This window comes from Homo sapiens, chromosome 18 (genome assembly GCF_000001405.40).
Source record: "Homo sapiens chromosome 18, GRCh38.p14 Primary Assembly".
Taxonomy (NCBI): Eukaryota; Metazoa; Chordata; class Mammalia; order Primates; family Hominidae; genus Homo; species Homo sapiens.
This window is the reverse complement of record NC_000018.10, coordinates 41,803,815-41,821,257: the sequence shown is the minus strand read 5'-3', so window position 1 is coordinate 41,821,257 and position 17,443 is coordinate 41,803,815. Positions and strand designations below refer to the sequence as shown.

The 17,443-nt window shown below is 40.8% G+C and overlaps 1 pseudogene; it reads right to left on the bottom strand.

Moving 5' to 3' along the window:
* LOC100301521 (chromosome 15 open reading frame 40 pseudogene) lies at positions 1,914 to 2,312 on the bottom strand (annotated as a pseudogene).

Sequence of the window (17,443 nt, the reverse complement as noted above, 5' to 3'; positions counted from 1 at the left end):
CCAGTGAAAAAGTAATGAAGAGCAATTCTGATTTAGTGACAAAAATCCTACAAATGATAAAAAAGACCAAGATGACAGGTGCACTGAAAATGGTCATATTTTTTCCTCTCTTTGAGTTGAACTATAGCTAATAATGATACTGACTCATCCTTTGAACTTCTCTTGGTGTCTTTCATGTGAAGAGTTCAAAGCCCTTTATGAATAACAAATAATTAGGTCTTGCAAAAGTCCTTAAAGTAGGAGTGTGAGAATGACACTGTACCCATTTCACAGTTGAATGATGGAGCTCCAGGCCAGGAGCTCGCCATGGAAACACAATCTTCTCTGCGGTCTCTGCTCTTGACTTACTTATCTCACTTTCGGGGTCTCTCAAACTCCCACACACTCCTAGAAGAAGTCAGCCTCCATATTTTCACTTCCATCTCATGCTAAACTCACTTATTTAAGCACCCTTTGTTGATCTTCCATTTTCTATTTCCGTCTGTCACTCGTTTTTGCTTGCTTCTAGGCTCATGTAATCAGAGTCTCTGCTGCTTTGTGAGAATTACTACGTCTCTGGTTTACCTTGCACCTGACAAAATAGAATAGGGCTTCTATTCCCTTTTAAAAAACAGTTAAGGAAGAAGTGTTTCTTGGTTCCCTAGTATGCCTGCAGCAGCGGCCTGAGCACAGCAAGAGCTCCAGAAAGAGCAAAAGACACAGATCCTTCCTTGGAAAAGCTGTAGGGAGGTGAGGAGACAGATCTGACACACAGGGTATAGCAAAGAACAACACCAAATCCTGTATCAAATAATTCATCCTGTGTTACCAAACACTATGAATACAAGAATTCAGAAGAAAAGGCTGAAAAGTCCGACACTTCCAGGAGGTTGGGTTTGGTTGAGATTTTGAAGATCGGGTGAGGAAAGGATTTAGGAGACAGTGGTGTTCCAGGTCCAGGGCGAAAGGCACCCTGGGGAGGAAGCACCTAGCGTGTTAGGGGATAATGACACATAAAGTTAGGGAACATCTCTCCAGAGCATGAAGCACAGGCCCTTGCCCGTATTAGAACTGAAGGAAATGGGGTGTGTGATTGACATGTACTGGGAGTACAGGGTACAGAGCTCAGCACAGCTTCTTTACAGGGATGGGAAACTCAACCTAGAAACATGTGAAGAAGAGATTTTCTTCCTGTCAAGCAAATTCATGATAGCTTTCATTTAATGAAATTCTTTTTTTCTCAAAAATTATAATTCACTTTTAATTACAAGTTATGATTTTTCATTACTTTTTTTACAAAATGGTCAATATAGTCTTTAAAAGATGTAAAAAATTATTTTTTTCATTTAGATAAGCATTTTAAAATATAAGGTAACACTACAAAGCAGTGTAACAGATTTTCTGTCACTTGTAAACCGGATTAGAACGCAATCCCCAGAATTCCAGAACTGTTGTGGAGATATGGTAATTTTAATTTACAAGCAGGATAAACTGCATTTGACAAGGAGTCAAGGGCGTTGGGTTTTAGTCACCATCTTGCATGTTATGATCTTGAACAAGTCTGTCAACTCCTGGATATCAGAAGCCCCACCAGAGAATGAAAGGTGTTAAATCAGGTCACTTTGAATATTCTTTCCAGCTCTGTTATTTTATAATGCCATGAAATCAGAGTAACATGCTCCAGGCTGTTTGGGGTCAGGGATTTTAGAACCTGTGTTCAACATATATTACTTTTTAAATGTCTACTTTTTGGAGTCTTATTCAAATTTATATATATATATTTGAATGTGCTTGTAACAGCCTCTTCATCATTAGCAATAAAAGTTTCTCAAGGATGTATTTTCCATTTCTTGCTTTGTTTTTCAGCTTTCTTTTTAAATTTCCTCAAGATTTCTTCTGGAGTTGTGGAGGCCAAAAGCTTCACTACCTTTTCAGCGATGTACCACCCGTATCCAAAACCACATCACTCTTCCTGAGTTCTAAGACCTTGGACAGATAAGCTACAAAGCTCAGCATTATCCTCCCCCACTGATGGAGGTGCTGCAATAGCCACATTTACCAACTGTGCTGTCAAATCTGTTACAGTATTTTGTTTGGAGCCAGGTTTGGCATGGATGGCTATGGTGACACAACCTATAGGAACAACTGCCACAGGACCTAAGGGAGGAAGTGGTCTCTCTGGTTCCTTGATCTGACTTTTACCCTAGGTCATTGCATCAGCTTTCTTGGCATCTTGGTGCCAAGAGGGAGCCGAGTGGAGTCCTGAGTACTCAGTGCTGCCCTTGAGCTGCTTCAGCCCGCTGCCAAGCCCCAGCATCCCCGCCTGGGGAGGCCTTAATGAAATTCTTTATCCTCATTTTATTTTTACTTCAATCTTCTGTGGGGAATCTTGAAATATATTCCACATTTCTGGAGGCAGAAGCTCTGCTATATGTCAGTATCCAGATCATAGATCAGTCTAGAGGAGGGTGCATATGTAAAGCAGTATTAGGAGCAAGGGAATGTTCCCTGTCCAGGGCTCTGCTCAGGGCTGGCTTCTGGGAGGAGCTGAGCTTGGTTATGGGTTGACAGAGAGCAGGAAAGAGGTCTTGAGAGGAAAGGAATGAGGACACGCAATGTGGCAACAGGAGGTAGTTGTGGGAAGGAAGGTTAACAGAACCACATTTACAGCATGGTGAATGTGAGAACAGTAAGCAATGAACTGGAAGACATCCGGGGAGGGCTGGGGACACAGCTAGAGAGTTTAAAGCAGGCGGAACCTGTGGGGGGAAGGGGAAGGCCAGTCAGCAATATCCTCATACGTTACACTAACCAGCACTTTGCCGTTCTCAGAAACTTTTTCTATCTACGTTAATTCATTTGATCCTTATAACATCCTTGGGTTTTATTACCCATTTTACAAAGAAGAAATGTGAAAAATGGAGAGTTTAGGGTTTTCCCAAAGATAATATTGTTATCTAATGGCAATTTAGGTCTAGAATCTGAAACTTATGTCTCTTAACTCAAGGCATTTCCCACTAGCATCAAGTAGCATGGGACGGGGGAAGATGCAGGACCAGTTGTGAGGAGACTGACATTTCTCTTTCTGACTCTGGGAACAAGCAGTCGCCAAGAACCCACCAGGAGTAGCTTGTAGTCTAGGCTCTGTTGGCTGGTGTCTTTGCCTGAGCTAGAATTTTAACAATGTTTCCCTGTTAGACAGGAAACTTAGTGCAGGGCCATGCACACAGTAGGTGTTCCATAAATATTTGTTGATGCTGTGGATGCAGTACAACGGGCTCACAGCAGGCCCATCACACCTAATCGCTTCAGAAAGGACTGGGAGGAGATGGAAAATAAAAATCTCATCAATAATAGAATATGTTGTTTTTCCTTCTCTGCCCAGGGAGACTTTGGTTTCTCCGTTGTATTTCCAGTATTTTAAGATGGGAATAATTTTCACAGTGGCAGGTACAGCTGGTGAGATGCTGTTTTAATACGAAGGAAAATGCTAGAAAAGAATTTTAGAATATTAAGAAGGGATTTGGTTTCTGACAGAAATATTAGCTGTAAAGGCCGGTATGAAGATTTTAGAGAAATTTAATTAAAATTTAATCTTCTTTCTAATTAAAGTTTCCTTTAATTCAACTTAAAATTAAATTTGCTTTAATTGGAGGAATTTAAAGGTTATTACCTTTTGAGTGTCAATCATTTTGAAAGAAAAAAGTTATGCTGCTTTGTCTAGTTTAAAATGAGGGTTGGTGTCAAATTTCTAGAAAAGTAATAAAAATGTTGTATTTAAATATAAATTAGCACTCCTTGCTGTTTGACTCCCCATTTGCCTGGTTCAGAAACATTGGTCTTAAATTGCAGTTTTCCTCTATGTGGGAGACCTACAGAGAAGGTCAGGCTCAGACCACCAAGGGCTTGAATGTGAGAGTTCAGCCTTTCTTTCTCCCTTATTCAGGTTCCTCTGGAAGCTGTCTCCCTCCTTGCTGGAATTCTCTAAGCCTTCCTCATGCCTTTCTTGGAGAGCCTTCTCAATCTATCAATCTTTGGCAATGGTTGCCTGCTGCCTTTCTCTGGGAGTTGGGGGAGGGGGTCCAAGCCCCCTCATGCCCTTTCCTTCCTCAAAGCCCTTTTCTGTGTGGTGAATTAGAATCCTTTCAAGCCCCATATGTTCCTTCCCTCAAACACTGAGGCCGAAAAGTGAGTTAATTTTTCCTCCCAGGATGAGAACTCCCTCTTATATGTTCCCCATTTCCAACAGTATTATCTCATTTCCTTACACCAGTCAAACTCAGAAGAAGTGGTTTTTCATTCTCCCTACAGCCTCTTCAACTACCAGATCCTTCAGAGCAGCCAGCACAACTATCGCTTCAGCTTAGTTCCTTATCCTGTCCCTAGATGGATGAAAGCAATGGTTGCTAGTAGGGTCTGGCTGCTGCCCATCTCTCCCTGATGTAGTTGCACACTATTGCCAAGTTGTTAGTCTAAAATTACTGGCTCTTTTCTTCTGAATAACCCAAATATCTAAACCTGGCATTCAAGGCCTCCAATGGTGTGTCTTCAACTTACTTTTTCCACATTCATGTCCCACAACTTTGCTAACATACTTAATCTGCTCCAGCCAGTAATCTAGTTTACTTACTGCTCCTTAAACATACGTCAAACGTTTTGGCTTCCAGGTTTATTTCTGCACCCTTCTTGCAGCCTAGAATGCTTTCTTTTTCCCTCATCTTCAAGACCCTCATGAAACTCCAAATCATCACAAAGTTACCCCTTATCAATCTGGCCTGGCATGAGAGCTTGTTCTTCTGCAGCTAAGAACACTTATTCTGGCAATATGAATGCAGTCACATTTATTCTGTGTTTTAGTTCATTCTCATGCTGCTAATAAAAACATACCTGAGACTGGGTAACTTATAAAGAAAAAGAGGTTTAATGGACTCACACTTCCACATAACTGGAGGGGCCACACAACCATGGCGAAAGGTGAAGGAGGAGCAAAGGCACGTCTTAACGTGGCAGCAGGCAAGAGAGGGTGTGCAGGGGAACTGCCCTTTATAAAGCCATCAGATCTCATGAGATGTTTTCACTATCACGAGAATAACATGGAAAAAAATCTGCCCCCATGATTCGATTACTTCCCACCAAGTCCCTTCCACAGCATGTGGAGATTATGTGAACTACATTTCAAGATGAGAACTGGATGGGGACACAGCCAAACCATATCATTTTGCTTACTAATGTTTACATCCTTTATTCTGATTTATCCTATATTTGACAATTTCTAAAGCCTGGAATGTATATATTTCCACTTGACCTCCAACGCCAGCTGTGATGTATGCCACAGAAGTGTTATTATTCATATCTTCTATCTGAACAATTAGAGCCTCTGAAGTGTTTTGATTCACTCAAGATCTCACAGGTTGAATAATGGAGTAAGGATCAGAATTCAGGTTCTCTCCCTGGTTATTTCACTAGGTTCACTTTACCATTTTCTCCATCTGTGGAAGCAGGACAGCAAGGCAACTGGCTCAGGGGAGTGAGGCCACTCTGAGTCCCAGGACTTCTATATCTCAAGAAAAGTAGCTCATCCACTGCAGGATTCATCATGACCTCAGGGCAATCACCAACAGAGACTGTCTGGTTGGGTGGATTTATTTTCCTTCAACATGGAGCATGCCTTATTCCACAAGGTATTATGGCTGGCCTTCTTCATGCTCAGCCTGTCCATGGCTATGAAAATGGTAGAAGAGCATGTTCTGTAATTCTCAACACTCAGTATAGGGTCCCTGCCAACTATATAGGAACTGTTTAGTTTTTCAGGTTTTAAGTTTCCTGAAAAACTCTGGTTTCTGGCTACTCTATTCAAATAATGTAAATGCTTTAGAAAAGAGAAAGACAAAGACCTTTCAGAAACTCAGATTTGAAAACTATGGGGACTTGCTGAGCTAGTTAAAAAGATAATCTTTTACTATTTTATTCAAAGTAAGTATGATACAAATAAATATCTTCAGAGGAGGGTAAATGACCAGCTCCCTGACAGCTTTTAATTGCTAATGCATAGACACACTCTCGAGGGCATCTCTCTCCTCTCTCTCTCTGTCTCTCTCTTCCTTCCCTCCTTCCCTCCCTCTCTCCCTCCCTTCCTTCCTTCTTTCTTTCCTTCTTTCCTTCCTTCCTCCCTTCCTCCCTTCCTCCCTTCTTCCCTCTTCCTTTCTCCTTCATTCCTGTTCCTTTTTTTGAAAAAGAACAGAAGTGCCTGCATTAAAAGACACAGAATGCTACAAGACAAAGTAGTTGTTAAAGCAATAGATAAAGCAGACTAGGTTTTTATGACACAACATTAGAATTCAAAGCTGAAGCTTTTACCTACTGATATGGTTTGGCTGGGTCCCCACCCAAATCTCATGTTGAATTCCATTGTGGGAAGGACTCGGTGGGAGGTAATTGAATCATGAGGGCAGGTGCTTCCTGTGCTGTTCTTGTGATAGTAAGTAAGTCTCACAAGATCCGATGGTTATTATAAGGGGGAGTTTCTGTGCACAAGCACTCTTCTCTTGTCTGTTGCTATGTGAAATGTGCCTTTCACCTTCCTCCATGATTGTGAGGCCTCCCCAGCCACATGGAACTGTAAGTCCACTAAATGGGTATGTCTTTATCAGCAGCACAAAAATGGACTAATACAATAAATTGGTACCAGGAGTGCGGTGCTGCTGAAAGATACCCCAAAATGTGGAAGCAACTTTGGAACTGGGTAACAGGCAGAGGTTGGAGTCTGGGGGGCTCAGAAGAAGACAGGAAAATGTAGGAATGTTTGGAACTCTCTAGAGATTTCTTGAATGGCTTTGACCAACATGCTGATAATAACATGGACAATGAAATCCAGGGTGAGGTGGTCTCAGATAGACAAGGGAAACTTGTTAGGAACTGGAGCAAAGGTGACTCTTGTTATGTTTTAGCAAAGAGGCTGGTGGCATTTTGCCCCTGCCCTGGAGATTTGTGGAACTTTGAACTTGAGAGAGATGATTTAGGGTATCTGGCAGAAGAAATTTCTAAGCAGCAAAGCATTCAAGATATGACTTGGGTGCTGTTAAAAGCATTCAGTTTTAAAAGGGAAGGAAAGCAGGAAAGTTCGGAAAATTTGCAGCCTGACAATGCGATAGAAAAAAAAAAAATCCCATTTTCTGAGGAGAAATTCAGGCTGGCTGCAGAAATTTGCATAAGTGATGAGGAGCGGAATGTTAATTCCCAAGACCATGGGGAAAATGTCTCCAGGGCATGTCAGAGGTCTTCATGGTAGCCCCTCCCATCACAGACCCACTGGCCTAGGAGGAAAATGTGGTTTAGTGGGCCACGCCCAGGGTCTCCGTGATGTATGCAGTGTAGGGACTTGGTGTCCTGTGTCCCAGCCACTCCAACCATGGCTGAAAAGGGCCAACATAGAGCTCAGGTCGTGGCTTCAGTGGGTGCAAGCCCTAAGGCTTGGCAACTTCTGTGGTGTTGAGCTTGCGAGTGCACAGAAGTCAAGAATTGAGGTTTGGGAACTTCCACCTAGATTTCAGAGGATGTATAGAAATGCCTGGATGTTCAGGCAGAAGTCTGATGCACGGGCAGGACTCTCATGGAGAACCTCTGCTAGGGCAGTGCAGAAGGGAAATGTGGGGTTGGAGCCCCCATACAGAGTCCCTGCTGGGGCACTGCCTACTGGAGCTGTGAGAAGAGGGCCACTGTCCTCCAGAACCCAGAATGATAGATCCACTAACAGTTTGTACTGTGCTCCTGGAAAAGCCACAGGCACTTAATGCCAGCTTGTGAAAGCAGCTGGGAGAGAGGCTGTACCCTGAAAAGCCACAGGGGCAGAGCTGTCCAAGACCATGAGAACTCACCCCTTGCATCAGTGTAACCTGGATGTAAGACATGGAATCAAAGGAGATCATTTTGGAGCTTTAAGATTTGACCACCTTGCTGGATTTTGGACTTGCATGGGGCCTATATCCCCTTTGTTTTGGCCAATTTCTCCCATTCGCAATGGCTGTATTTACCCAATGCCTGCACCCTCATTGTATCTAGGAAGTAACTGACTTGCTTTTGATTTTAGAGGTTCATAGGTGGAAGGGACTTGCCTTGTCTCAGATAAGACTTTGTACTGTGGACTTTTGTGTTAATGCTGAAATGAGTTAAGACTTTGGGGGACTTTCGGAAAGGCATGATTGGTTTTGAAATGTGAGGACATGTGATTTCAGAGGGGCCAGGGGTGGAGTGATATGGTTTGGCTGTGTCCCCATCTAAATCTCATCTTGAATTTCCACATGTTGTGGGAGGGACCTTGTGGGAGGTAATTGAATCGTGGGGCAGGTCTTTCCCATGCTGTTCTAATGATAGTAAGTAAAACTCATGAGATCTGATAGTTATTATAAGGAGGAGTTTCCCTGCACAAGCTCTCTTCTCTTGTCTGCTGCCATGTGAGACGTGCCTTTCACCTTCCACCATGATTGTGAGGCCACCCCAGCCACATGGAACTGTAAATTCATTAAATGGGTATATCTTTATCAGCAGCATGAAAATGGACTAATACACCTACCTTTGGGTACTTTGAACCAACAAGATACTTGCTGTAGTTGTGAAGCCTAGAGTAGGATAATGAGAGCAAAGATGCTGATGTGAAGATCTCCCCATCCCCTAACGCCCCCCACCACCTCCAGCCAACATAGGTGTATCACCCAAGGTAGCATCAGGGCCTATGTGGGCAGGATTTTTACTCTAACACTGAGAAAGAATCCTTAAAATGCTAAGGAGCTACTGTGCTCAAATCTTCTTTCAAAGGAAAATGCCCTCAAGCAGTTCTTGTACAGTTGCTGGGGCTCCAGTACTGAGTGTTGAGAAAGACAGAACATGCTCTTCTACCATTGTCTTGACCATGGACAGGCTAGGCATACAGGAGGCCAGCCATCATACCTTGTGGAATAAGGCATGCTCCATATTAGAGCGTGTTAAATCAACCTAGCCAGACAGGCTCTGTTGGTGGTCCCCCTGAGGTCATGATGAGTCCTGCAGTGGATGAGCTACTTTTCTTGAGGCACAGAAGTCCTGGGACTCAGAATGGCTCCACTCCCCCTGAGCCAGTTGCCTTACTGTCCTGCTTCCCTTTGTGACCTTATAATAAGTGATTATTACAGAGGGCATCTGGGAATGTCTTTTGTTTGCAATTTTAAAAGCCTAGTATCCCGATTATGCCACGTATCCCTCAAAGTCTTTCAACGTTCTCCTGTGCCTTTCAAATTATAAATCATCAAGCATGTTTTTGAAGACTGGTTGTCATTTACCCACCCTTCTCAACATCCCCCTGTTAATTCCCTTGATCAGGAGTTAGTAAGCTCTGTAAATGGCCAAGTAATAAACAATTTAGGTTTTGCAGCACCCACAGTTTATGTCATAACTACTCAATTCTCTGAAATTAGCCATGAACAATAGAAAATGAATGATTGTGCCTATGTTCCCATAAAACTTTATTACTGAATACTGGAATTTCATATAAGTTTACAAATTTTATATAATTTTCACATCATGAAATGTCATTCTTTTCTTTTTTGAATTTTTTTTCCAGTCACTTAAAAATATAAAATTCATTCTTTAATCACAGGCTGTACAAAAACAGGTGTTAAGCCAGATCTGGCCCATGGCCCAGTTTACCAGCCTCTGCTCCACATAGATATTGTGCTCTTGTCCCACTGAGCCACTTCCATACCCTGGGGATACCTCTTGTTTTCTCACTGCCACATTGTTTTGGATTTTTTTTTTTTTTTTTACATGATGGCCAGTTAGGTGCTGCCACAAGTGGAGACAGAGGAGAGGCTCAGGAAAGCAAAGTTTATTATATGTACAGGTCTTCGAGACAGGAGGCATGGCATGACACATGGGAAAGACACCAGAGTAGACAGGAGGCAGAAAACAGGCCCAGGGAGCCCTCAGGCCACAGCCTTCATTGGGGTTCCCAGGGAAAGGCAACACAGAGCATGAGAAGCATAGGACTGGCCGTTTGAAGAATTTCAGTGGGCTTTGGGCGGTGGAGGTGGTCAATAGTTGTTTGGTACTTTGTTATCTCTAAGAGTTGGCTAGCTCTTGGATGGGCAGGCTCTTCCTCAGCCAGAAACGTTTCATAAAATGTCAACATATTACAATACATAGGAAATTAAAAAAATACACACACAATACACACATCTATGAAGACATTGGTCTGTCAAACTGGAAAATCTTATCCTTCATCCAGTTTTGTCAATATTCTGCTTAATATTCAAAATTTAGATCAAATATAAAATTGAGATTAGATTCCCTATTTTCTATTCTCTAGCCATACTGGAAATAGAGAGTTGTTAGCACTTTGAAATTAGACTACTTGAGTCTGAATCCTGGCTTCACTGCTTAGTAACTCTGACGTCTTGGGCAAACTAATCTTATTAAGTGTCGTCTGTAAAATTGAGATAATAAGAGTACTCAATTTACAGCTCATAGAACTATTGTAAGGATGAAATATTATAAGCAGGTAAGGAGCTTAGCACAGTACCTGACCAAGATGAAGTAATCTGTCCATGTTAGCAGTTATCAACCCTATGTCCTGGGCTCTCTGCTGAACGGTTTACTATCCCTCTGCAGGTTAGAGAAGGAAGGAGAACAAACAATGCAATATACTTTGTTTTAGCAAATGTCTTCATTCTTATTTGTATATTTTAATTTCTTCTGCTTGGTTTAGAAATAACTTAAAAGAACAAATGTATTTTATCTCCCTTGTCTACGCTCACCCCCACAAAGGAAATGTAATTTTCTTTCTTTTCTATTATTTTTTAAAATTTTTGGTTTGTTATGTATGGTGATAGAATTAAGGTAGTTTCTCCCTTTAACAAAAATTTATGCTCTCAGAGTCTTATCCTACCAGCACATCTTGGTCTGGGTACTGGAGCCATCAATTTACATCATTTTAGTTCCAGGAATAATGTTGGTTTATTAATTCTTTCTGTAAAGTATAGAAGCAGGGCCTAGAAACTCTGCAGAAAGAATTTATTTCCTTTCACTTTTCTTTTGATAAAGTGTAAAGAACATCAGGTAATTAGGAGTAGGAGGTTAAGTTTTTTTAAAATTTAAACTTATTTTAAACCACGTCAGGTACAAGTTGGAAACCAATTTAAACTTTTTGAATTCAAGTGTAATTTTTTCATAATCAAACATATTTGCCTTCCATGGTGACTGCATTTATCATCTCATTCATTCAGGACATTTAATGAACATTTAAAGATCACCTTAGCTTGGTTGTCTGGAGGAAAGAAGACACATGAGAGGCAGTTATAGTGTTCAAGTGGCTTTCGGGCCAGATAGTGCAGAGTCATACAAAGGAAGAACTAAAACAGCTGGTAGAGTGAGTGCCTGGGGTTAGGCACATACCACTCTGCCGTGGGAAAGAGTGGCTAATAGTGGTGATGCAATGGGAAAAGGATCAAGGGCAGCTAGGTTGGGCTGAGAAGAGGTGAAGGTGTATCCCCAGCTAATGGATCAGCAGGAGTGTGAAGGTGAATGGCAACTGCAAGAAAAAAGAAAAACAATGGTTTTGTGTGATAAGAGCAAATAATGTGTAGAGGACTATAATGACAGATGGGACTGATAAATTTACATCCACTGTTGAAAATCTCATTGTATCCTTTCAAAGACCTAGCTCTTTTGGAAGAAGACAAGGAAATCTAATTAAAGATAATAATTATCTTTCTAATTCAGGAAATTTTCAGAAAACATTATTTATAGAACCAGATATGGAAATATGAAAAATTCCTGATGTTTTGATGGTAAGTTGTGGAGATTGTCACCACTGCATGGCAATTTCTAAGAAAGAAGCCAACTTATGGAAGGCACTGTCAAATCATTTCACCCTACTTTAAGTCAGAGAATCATAAAATAAAGAAGTTTAGAATAGAAAAAAAATATGAGTTGTCTAGTCTAATATTTCCAATATGAAGCTTCTGTAAAAGTGCCACAAAATGTCCCAGATTCCCCATGTAACAGTTGCATTCATTGATTTAAAAGTTCATAATTACAGCCAAGTACTGTGGCTCATGCCTGTAAATTCAGCACTTTGGGAGGCCAAGATGGGAGGATCTTCTGAGTCCAGGAGTTCGAGACCAGCCTGGGCAACATGGTGAAATTTTCTCTACTAAAAATACAAAAATTAGCCAGGCATGGTGGTATGCACCTGTGGTCTCAGCTACTGAGGCAGCTGAGGTGGGATAATCACCTAAGCCTGGAAGGTCGAGGCTGCAGTGAGCAGAGATTGCACCACTGTGCTCCAGCATGGACAACAGAGTGAGACCCTGTCTCAAAAATAAAAAAATCATAATTACAAAAAGTAACTGTGAATTCAGTGATATTGCTAAATGCATCTGAATTTTGTTTATTTCCACATCCATATTATCTTGAAGAAAAATGATCATAAAATGTATATACAAGATAGATTATTTATTCAGGCTATAGCCAATGCTAGTACCCAATAGATTTGTGACCTCCTTGCATGAATTGAAGAGGGGTGTGCCCTCCTTTATCCTGGGCCTCAGGTCCTGTTGCCTCCACTGAGTCCCAAGCATGGCTTGTTGCCTACTTAGCTGTTGATAGAGTCAGAAAAAGACTCCTGAGAGATTCAGCTAAATTCAGCCTTCATTGGTCAAGCATTTTTCTATGTGTTTGTTGCTATGCCAAGACTGATGGGTGCAAAAGAGAGCCAGAGAACATGATGCCTGCCCCGAAGGAGACTGTGGCTTGGTTGTTGCTCAATGGAATACTCTTTCTATAGTGTATTATTTTTAGTTTGGTCTGTAAGGATTCAATATTAGTTCATGATATGACTCAACAAAGGAAATGGTCAGAAACATTGGAAAATAGGCTTCATGTTTTTTTGAATTAATGATTTAGTTTGTAACTGGAACCTTCAAGCACAACCTTTCAGTTTACACACTCTCCATTCCATCTTCTCTCGTGCAGCCTGACCAGGGTTTCAGGGATGGCCTCGCTGGGGCTCACTACCAATTCCTGGAAGGAATGCTTGGACAGTAGCATTACTGCTGGTCCTCATCAAAGACCCCTTTGAGTGTTTCTACCTTGGAATTCAAAAAGTACAGGAGTAGTGTTGATTTGTTTTGGCAAGTTTGGATGAGGCTTTTCTGGATGCAGGGGCAGACGTTAAATGAGATTCAAGGAAAAGCCACTTCCAAGCAATGATTGAATCAATAAATAATGCTGTTGTGAACATGGCATGGGACTAGATGCCTGAACACAGAGGGTTTTCCTCTTGAATTTTCAGTCTCTTCATCTGAGTGGTGGTATACCAAATGGCGAAGAGCCTGGGCACCAGATGGAGAACACTGAGGTGCAAATCCCAGCTCTGCTTCTCACTAGCTGTATGGCCTTGTTCTTTAATGTCTCTGTGCTCCGGTTTCCTCATCTGTAACATGGATGTAGTTCATGTATTAATAGTGATTGCATCAGGTACTAACTAATATATGTGAAGCACTTAGCCCAATGCCTCTTGTATAACATTCAAAAAAGTTAGCTATTAGTAGGTGCTATAAAATTATAAAGTTTTTACTCTCTGACCTTTGGAGTTGAAACAGTGGCATTAGATGGGTTGAAATTCTAGCTCTGGTACTGCCTAACTGGGTGATTCTAAGTAACTTTTTTTCTTATTTCTGTAGGTTGGTTTTTTTTTTTTAAATAAAATGGGGACAATAGAACATATTACATTGTTCTAGAGATTAAATGAAATAATGACAAAAATTTCTTAGCAGAGTATCTGATATACAGCAAATGGACAATAATGTGTATTGATTTTGATTTATAACAGCATTTGATGATTGCGATTTTATGAACATATTGTGATTGGCTACTATACAGAAATTTCAGTGCTAAAAGTTTTGAGGAATAAAGTATCCTCTGTTTTCAGAGAACTGGCTAACTTGTGAAGGAGCTAAGAAATACAAATAACCAACAATATAAAAGTAAAATATTTGTTACTGAAAAGATGGTACAAGCCAGGGTATGATTAACTGTCAAATATCTTATGAGTTCAAATAAAGCAAAGAACCAGCAAAGACCTGTGATTCTGTGATAAACCAGACTTTATCTTAGAAATATATTTTTGGAAGATGGCAGCAAGAAACATTTCACCTCTCACAAGTATCAGGGATTCTTCCTCAAATGTACAGAAAATGAATAGTAGTTTTTCTCCTGGTTAAAGTCTAAGAATGACAGATGTCCAGACTGGGATGTCTGTGATTACCATGTGCTGATGAAATTGGGCCCTTCATATAGAATGTTTCTTTTAGTTTATTTTGGGCACTTTGCAGGGTTGGTTTTCAATGACTGCTACTACAATTCTGGCCATTTCCACACGGAAGCCATTCCACAGTCTAATTGACTCTTGGTTAGGAGCTCTTCCCTTGCAATAGGGCTTGTATTTTCTTTCTCTCAATCTCATTTCATTGTTCTAATACCTCCCTGGGTGACATAGAGCCATTTCCCACCTCTTCTGGCACTCGTGATCTTTCAGTGTTTGCCCATGCTCCCTTCTGCATCACTGCCACCCTATCTCAATGGCTTAGCTCTGGTATTAGTATAAACTTTCCAAATTCAAATTCCAAATCACCAGGTTACTTTTTAGGACCGTGAACTGACAGAAGTGGGGAGGGAACAAGAAATGGCTGTTGATATAGAATAGTGAATTGCAAGCCAGCAGAGGTGAATGATTTATGTGTCTGGTGAACTACCTGCCATCTTGCCCGGCTGGTGAGGAGGGGAGATATGGCGGGAATCAGCAAGAGACCAATTAAAGTCTGACCTCTTAGCCAGCACGGTTCTGGCTGCAGGTATCTGGGCAAGGTAGGTGGCCTCTAACTACTTCTCAACCTATGCACCTGGTTTCGAAGCTTCTATTCCGAGGTTAGATGAAGACAGGGTGGAAGAGCATACTGGAAAGAAACCGTGGCTTAAGAATAGTTCTCAATAACATGGCTCCCTTGGAAGCTGACCGTGAGGATGACTTAAACCTTCTGGGAAAAAAAGTGAGCAGAAGGCACTGAGAAGAGAAAGTGCAATGGAGCAAATGGGGTATTGCCAATTTGTTTTAGACAATGAGAGGAAAGAATCTTCAAGGACAAAAGGTAAGAAGCAAAAGGGAAAATGAATATACACTCTGCAAACACACCACGCCACACACACATACACCCATAGGTGCATGCTCACGCTCACTCACCTTCTTCAGAGGGGTTCTCTGATGTTCTGTGCAGAAGGATTGACAGTTTCCTGTCTGCAGGCTCTCTTTGTCCTCCAGAATCTGTCAAACAGGCAGTTACGAGAAGGTGCTTTTTTGGGATGACAGCGTTAATGATTAAGGATTTTCTGGTTGAGTTTAGCTTTCCTGACAAACTGGTGTTATCATAATTAAATGCACAAACTTTCCTCCTACTCTTCAAATTATCATTACCCAAGGTTATTTTTTTCTGTTTGCTTCAGTTTCTCCTGACACCTCTCCTCTTAAACCCCTCCCTCCAGGCAAAAGTTCTGCAGGATTCAGGATTTCTTTTTCTTTTTTTTTTTTCTCTCTGAAAAACTATCTTGTTTCCTCCGTACTGCTGAACAGAAATGTGAATGTTAACGTATCTTCAACTTTATTGCACTAGAGATGTCACAGGCTGTCCTGGGCACCTAGAGTCAAAGGTGAGTATTGTGTAAGGCTACTTCCAAGTTTTCTGAAATCATGTGCTTTGACTCTAAGAGCTTCAGTCTCAGAGTTACTTAGTCCTTAATTTTGAATCTATTGACTAGGCATGTTATAGCATATAGCATATAGCTATATTTGCATATATATAGCGTATATGGGTATCATCATATAGGCATGATGATTCTTACTATAATTTAAAACAAGAACCTTATCTTCTAGTTATTTCATTCTTCAGACTTATTTCCAAGTACTTTCCCTCATGCTCCTTTTGGTAGAATAAGGATGGGTTCTGGGAAGACCAAACATTCTGGGCCCCCGGCCTTTGCTTATTGTAGTTTTCTGATTCCACTAAGTGCATCGCTATTCAACCCTGTCTCAAGTCCCAAATCAAGGTCCATCCATAGATGCATTACTTCTAGAAAGCCTTCTATGACTCTCTTCCTAGTTTTATTCTAGAAGACTTTGTATCTTCCTATTTGTTTATTTATAATTGACTTTTTTTTAAAAGAGTAACTTTATCTTGAAAGGAAAAATTGAACAGAAGGTACAGGTAGTTCCCCTACATCCCTTGTTCCTGCAAGTACACCCCATTTAAAAAAATTATTCAGAACACCATCACATTTTTTGAGCTTTCATTTGTGTGTGTGTGAGTTTTGTCTTCCTCCTAGGGAGGGTAAGAGTCCTGTCTTCTTGCAGAGTGCCCAAGGTGATACTAGTGCATAAGTAGTGCTTAAAAATGACATGTTGGTTGATAATGCCATTGCTTTTTCTTAGTGGTAGAAAAGGTGAAAAATTATGGTACACTGTTATTTTTCTTGTATCTTGCTTTCCGATGTTTCTATTGTTTTTATGACACACTGGAAATAAAGAACAAATGGCTAAAATGTCCACAATGCATGATAACTCTATCCATATTTACTCTCAGGGCAGACTGCAGCCCTCATCTTGGCTAATCATTTGAAATAAAGTACTGTTTGTCACAAGAGTACGTATTTCACAAGAAATTATGTGTTTGGTTCTCTTCAGATTTGTCTGTCCTTTCCTAGTTTCTGGAAAAGGAACTTCAACTCATGTTAGAGGGATTCCTTTGTATACCGGTGATTATGATAAATGAAATGAAAAATTTCAAAAAGTCATCTTGATTTCTGCTTTCTCACTTGAATAGGCAGCTTAAATCTATTTAAGCACAGAATGGGAAAAAAAACTCACCTAAGAACCTATGACTAAGGATATTGAAAGATAACTAATATGATTCCCTCACAAAAGTAGGATTAGAAATGAACTATTAAAAATTTCTGAATCATATGCCCCAAAAGGGGCAACATTTCTTCTGTACAGACAGCTCTTTTTTTTTTTTTTTTTTAGAGCAGGAGTTTGTGAAGTAAGTCCTTAAAATCACATCTGTTCACCTTATGTGATGGGAAGGAGAGGCAACTTCTGAAGCAGGGTAATTGAAATGGAAATACATTCAAATAAATGGACTCTGGAGTTCCACTTTGTTCTAAATAACCTCTACTGTAAGTGATCAGCTTATTTGAAAGTATGATGGGTGGGCTATCGGGGCAAGGCTGTATCTGATTTTTTTTTCTAGTCATTAGTCTATCTTCCCTTTTCATTCAACCTTTTGGAATAAGTTCTTACACTTAGGGCAGAACAGGGGATGGTGGAGCTGAGCCTTCAAAGGACACTCTGCATGTGTTTCTAATGGGTTTTCAAGTGCATCCTGCT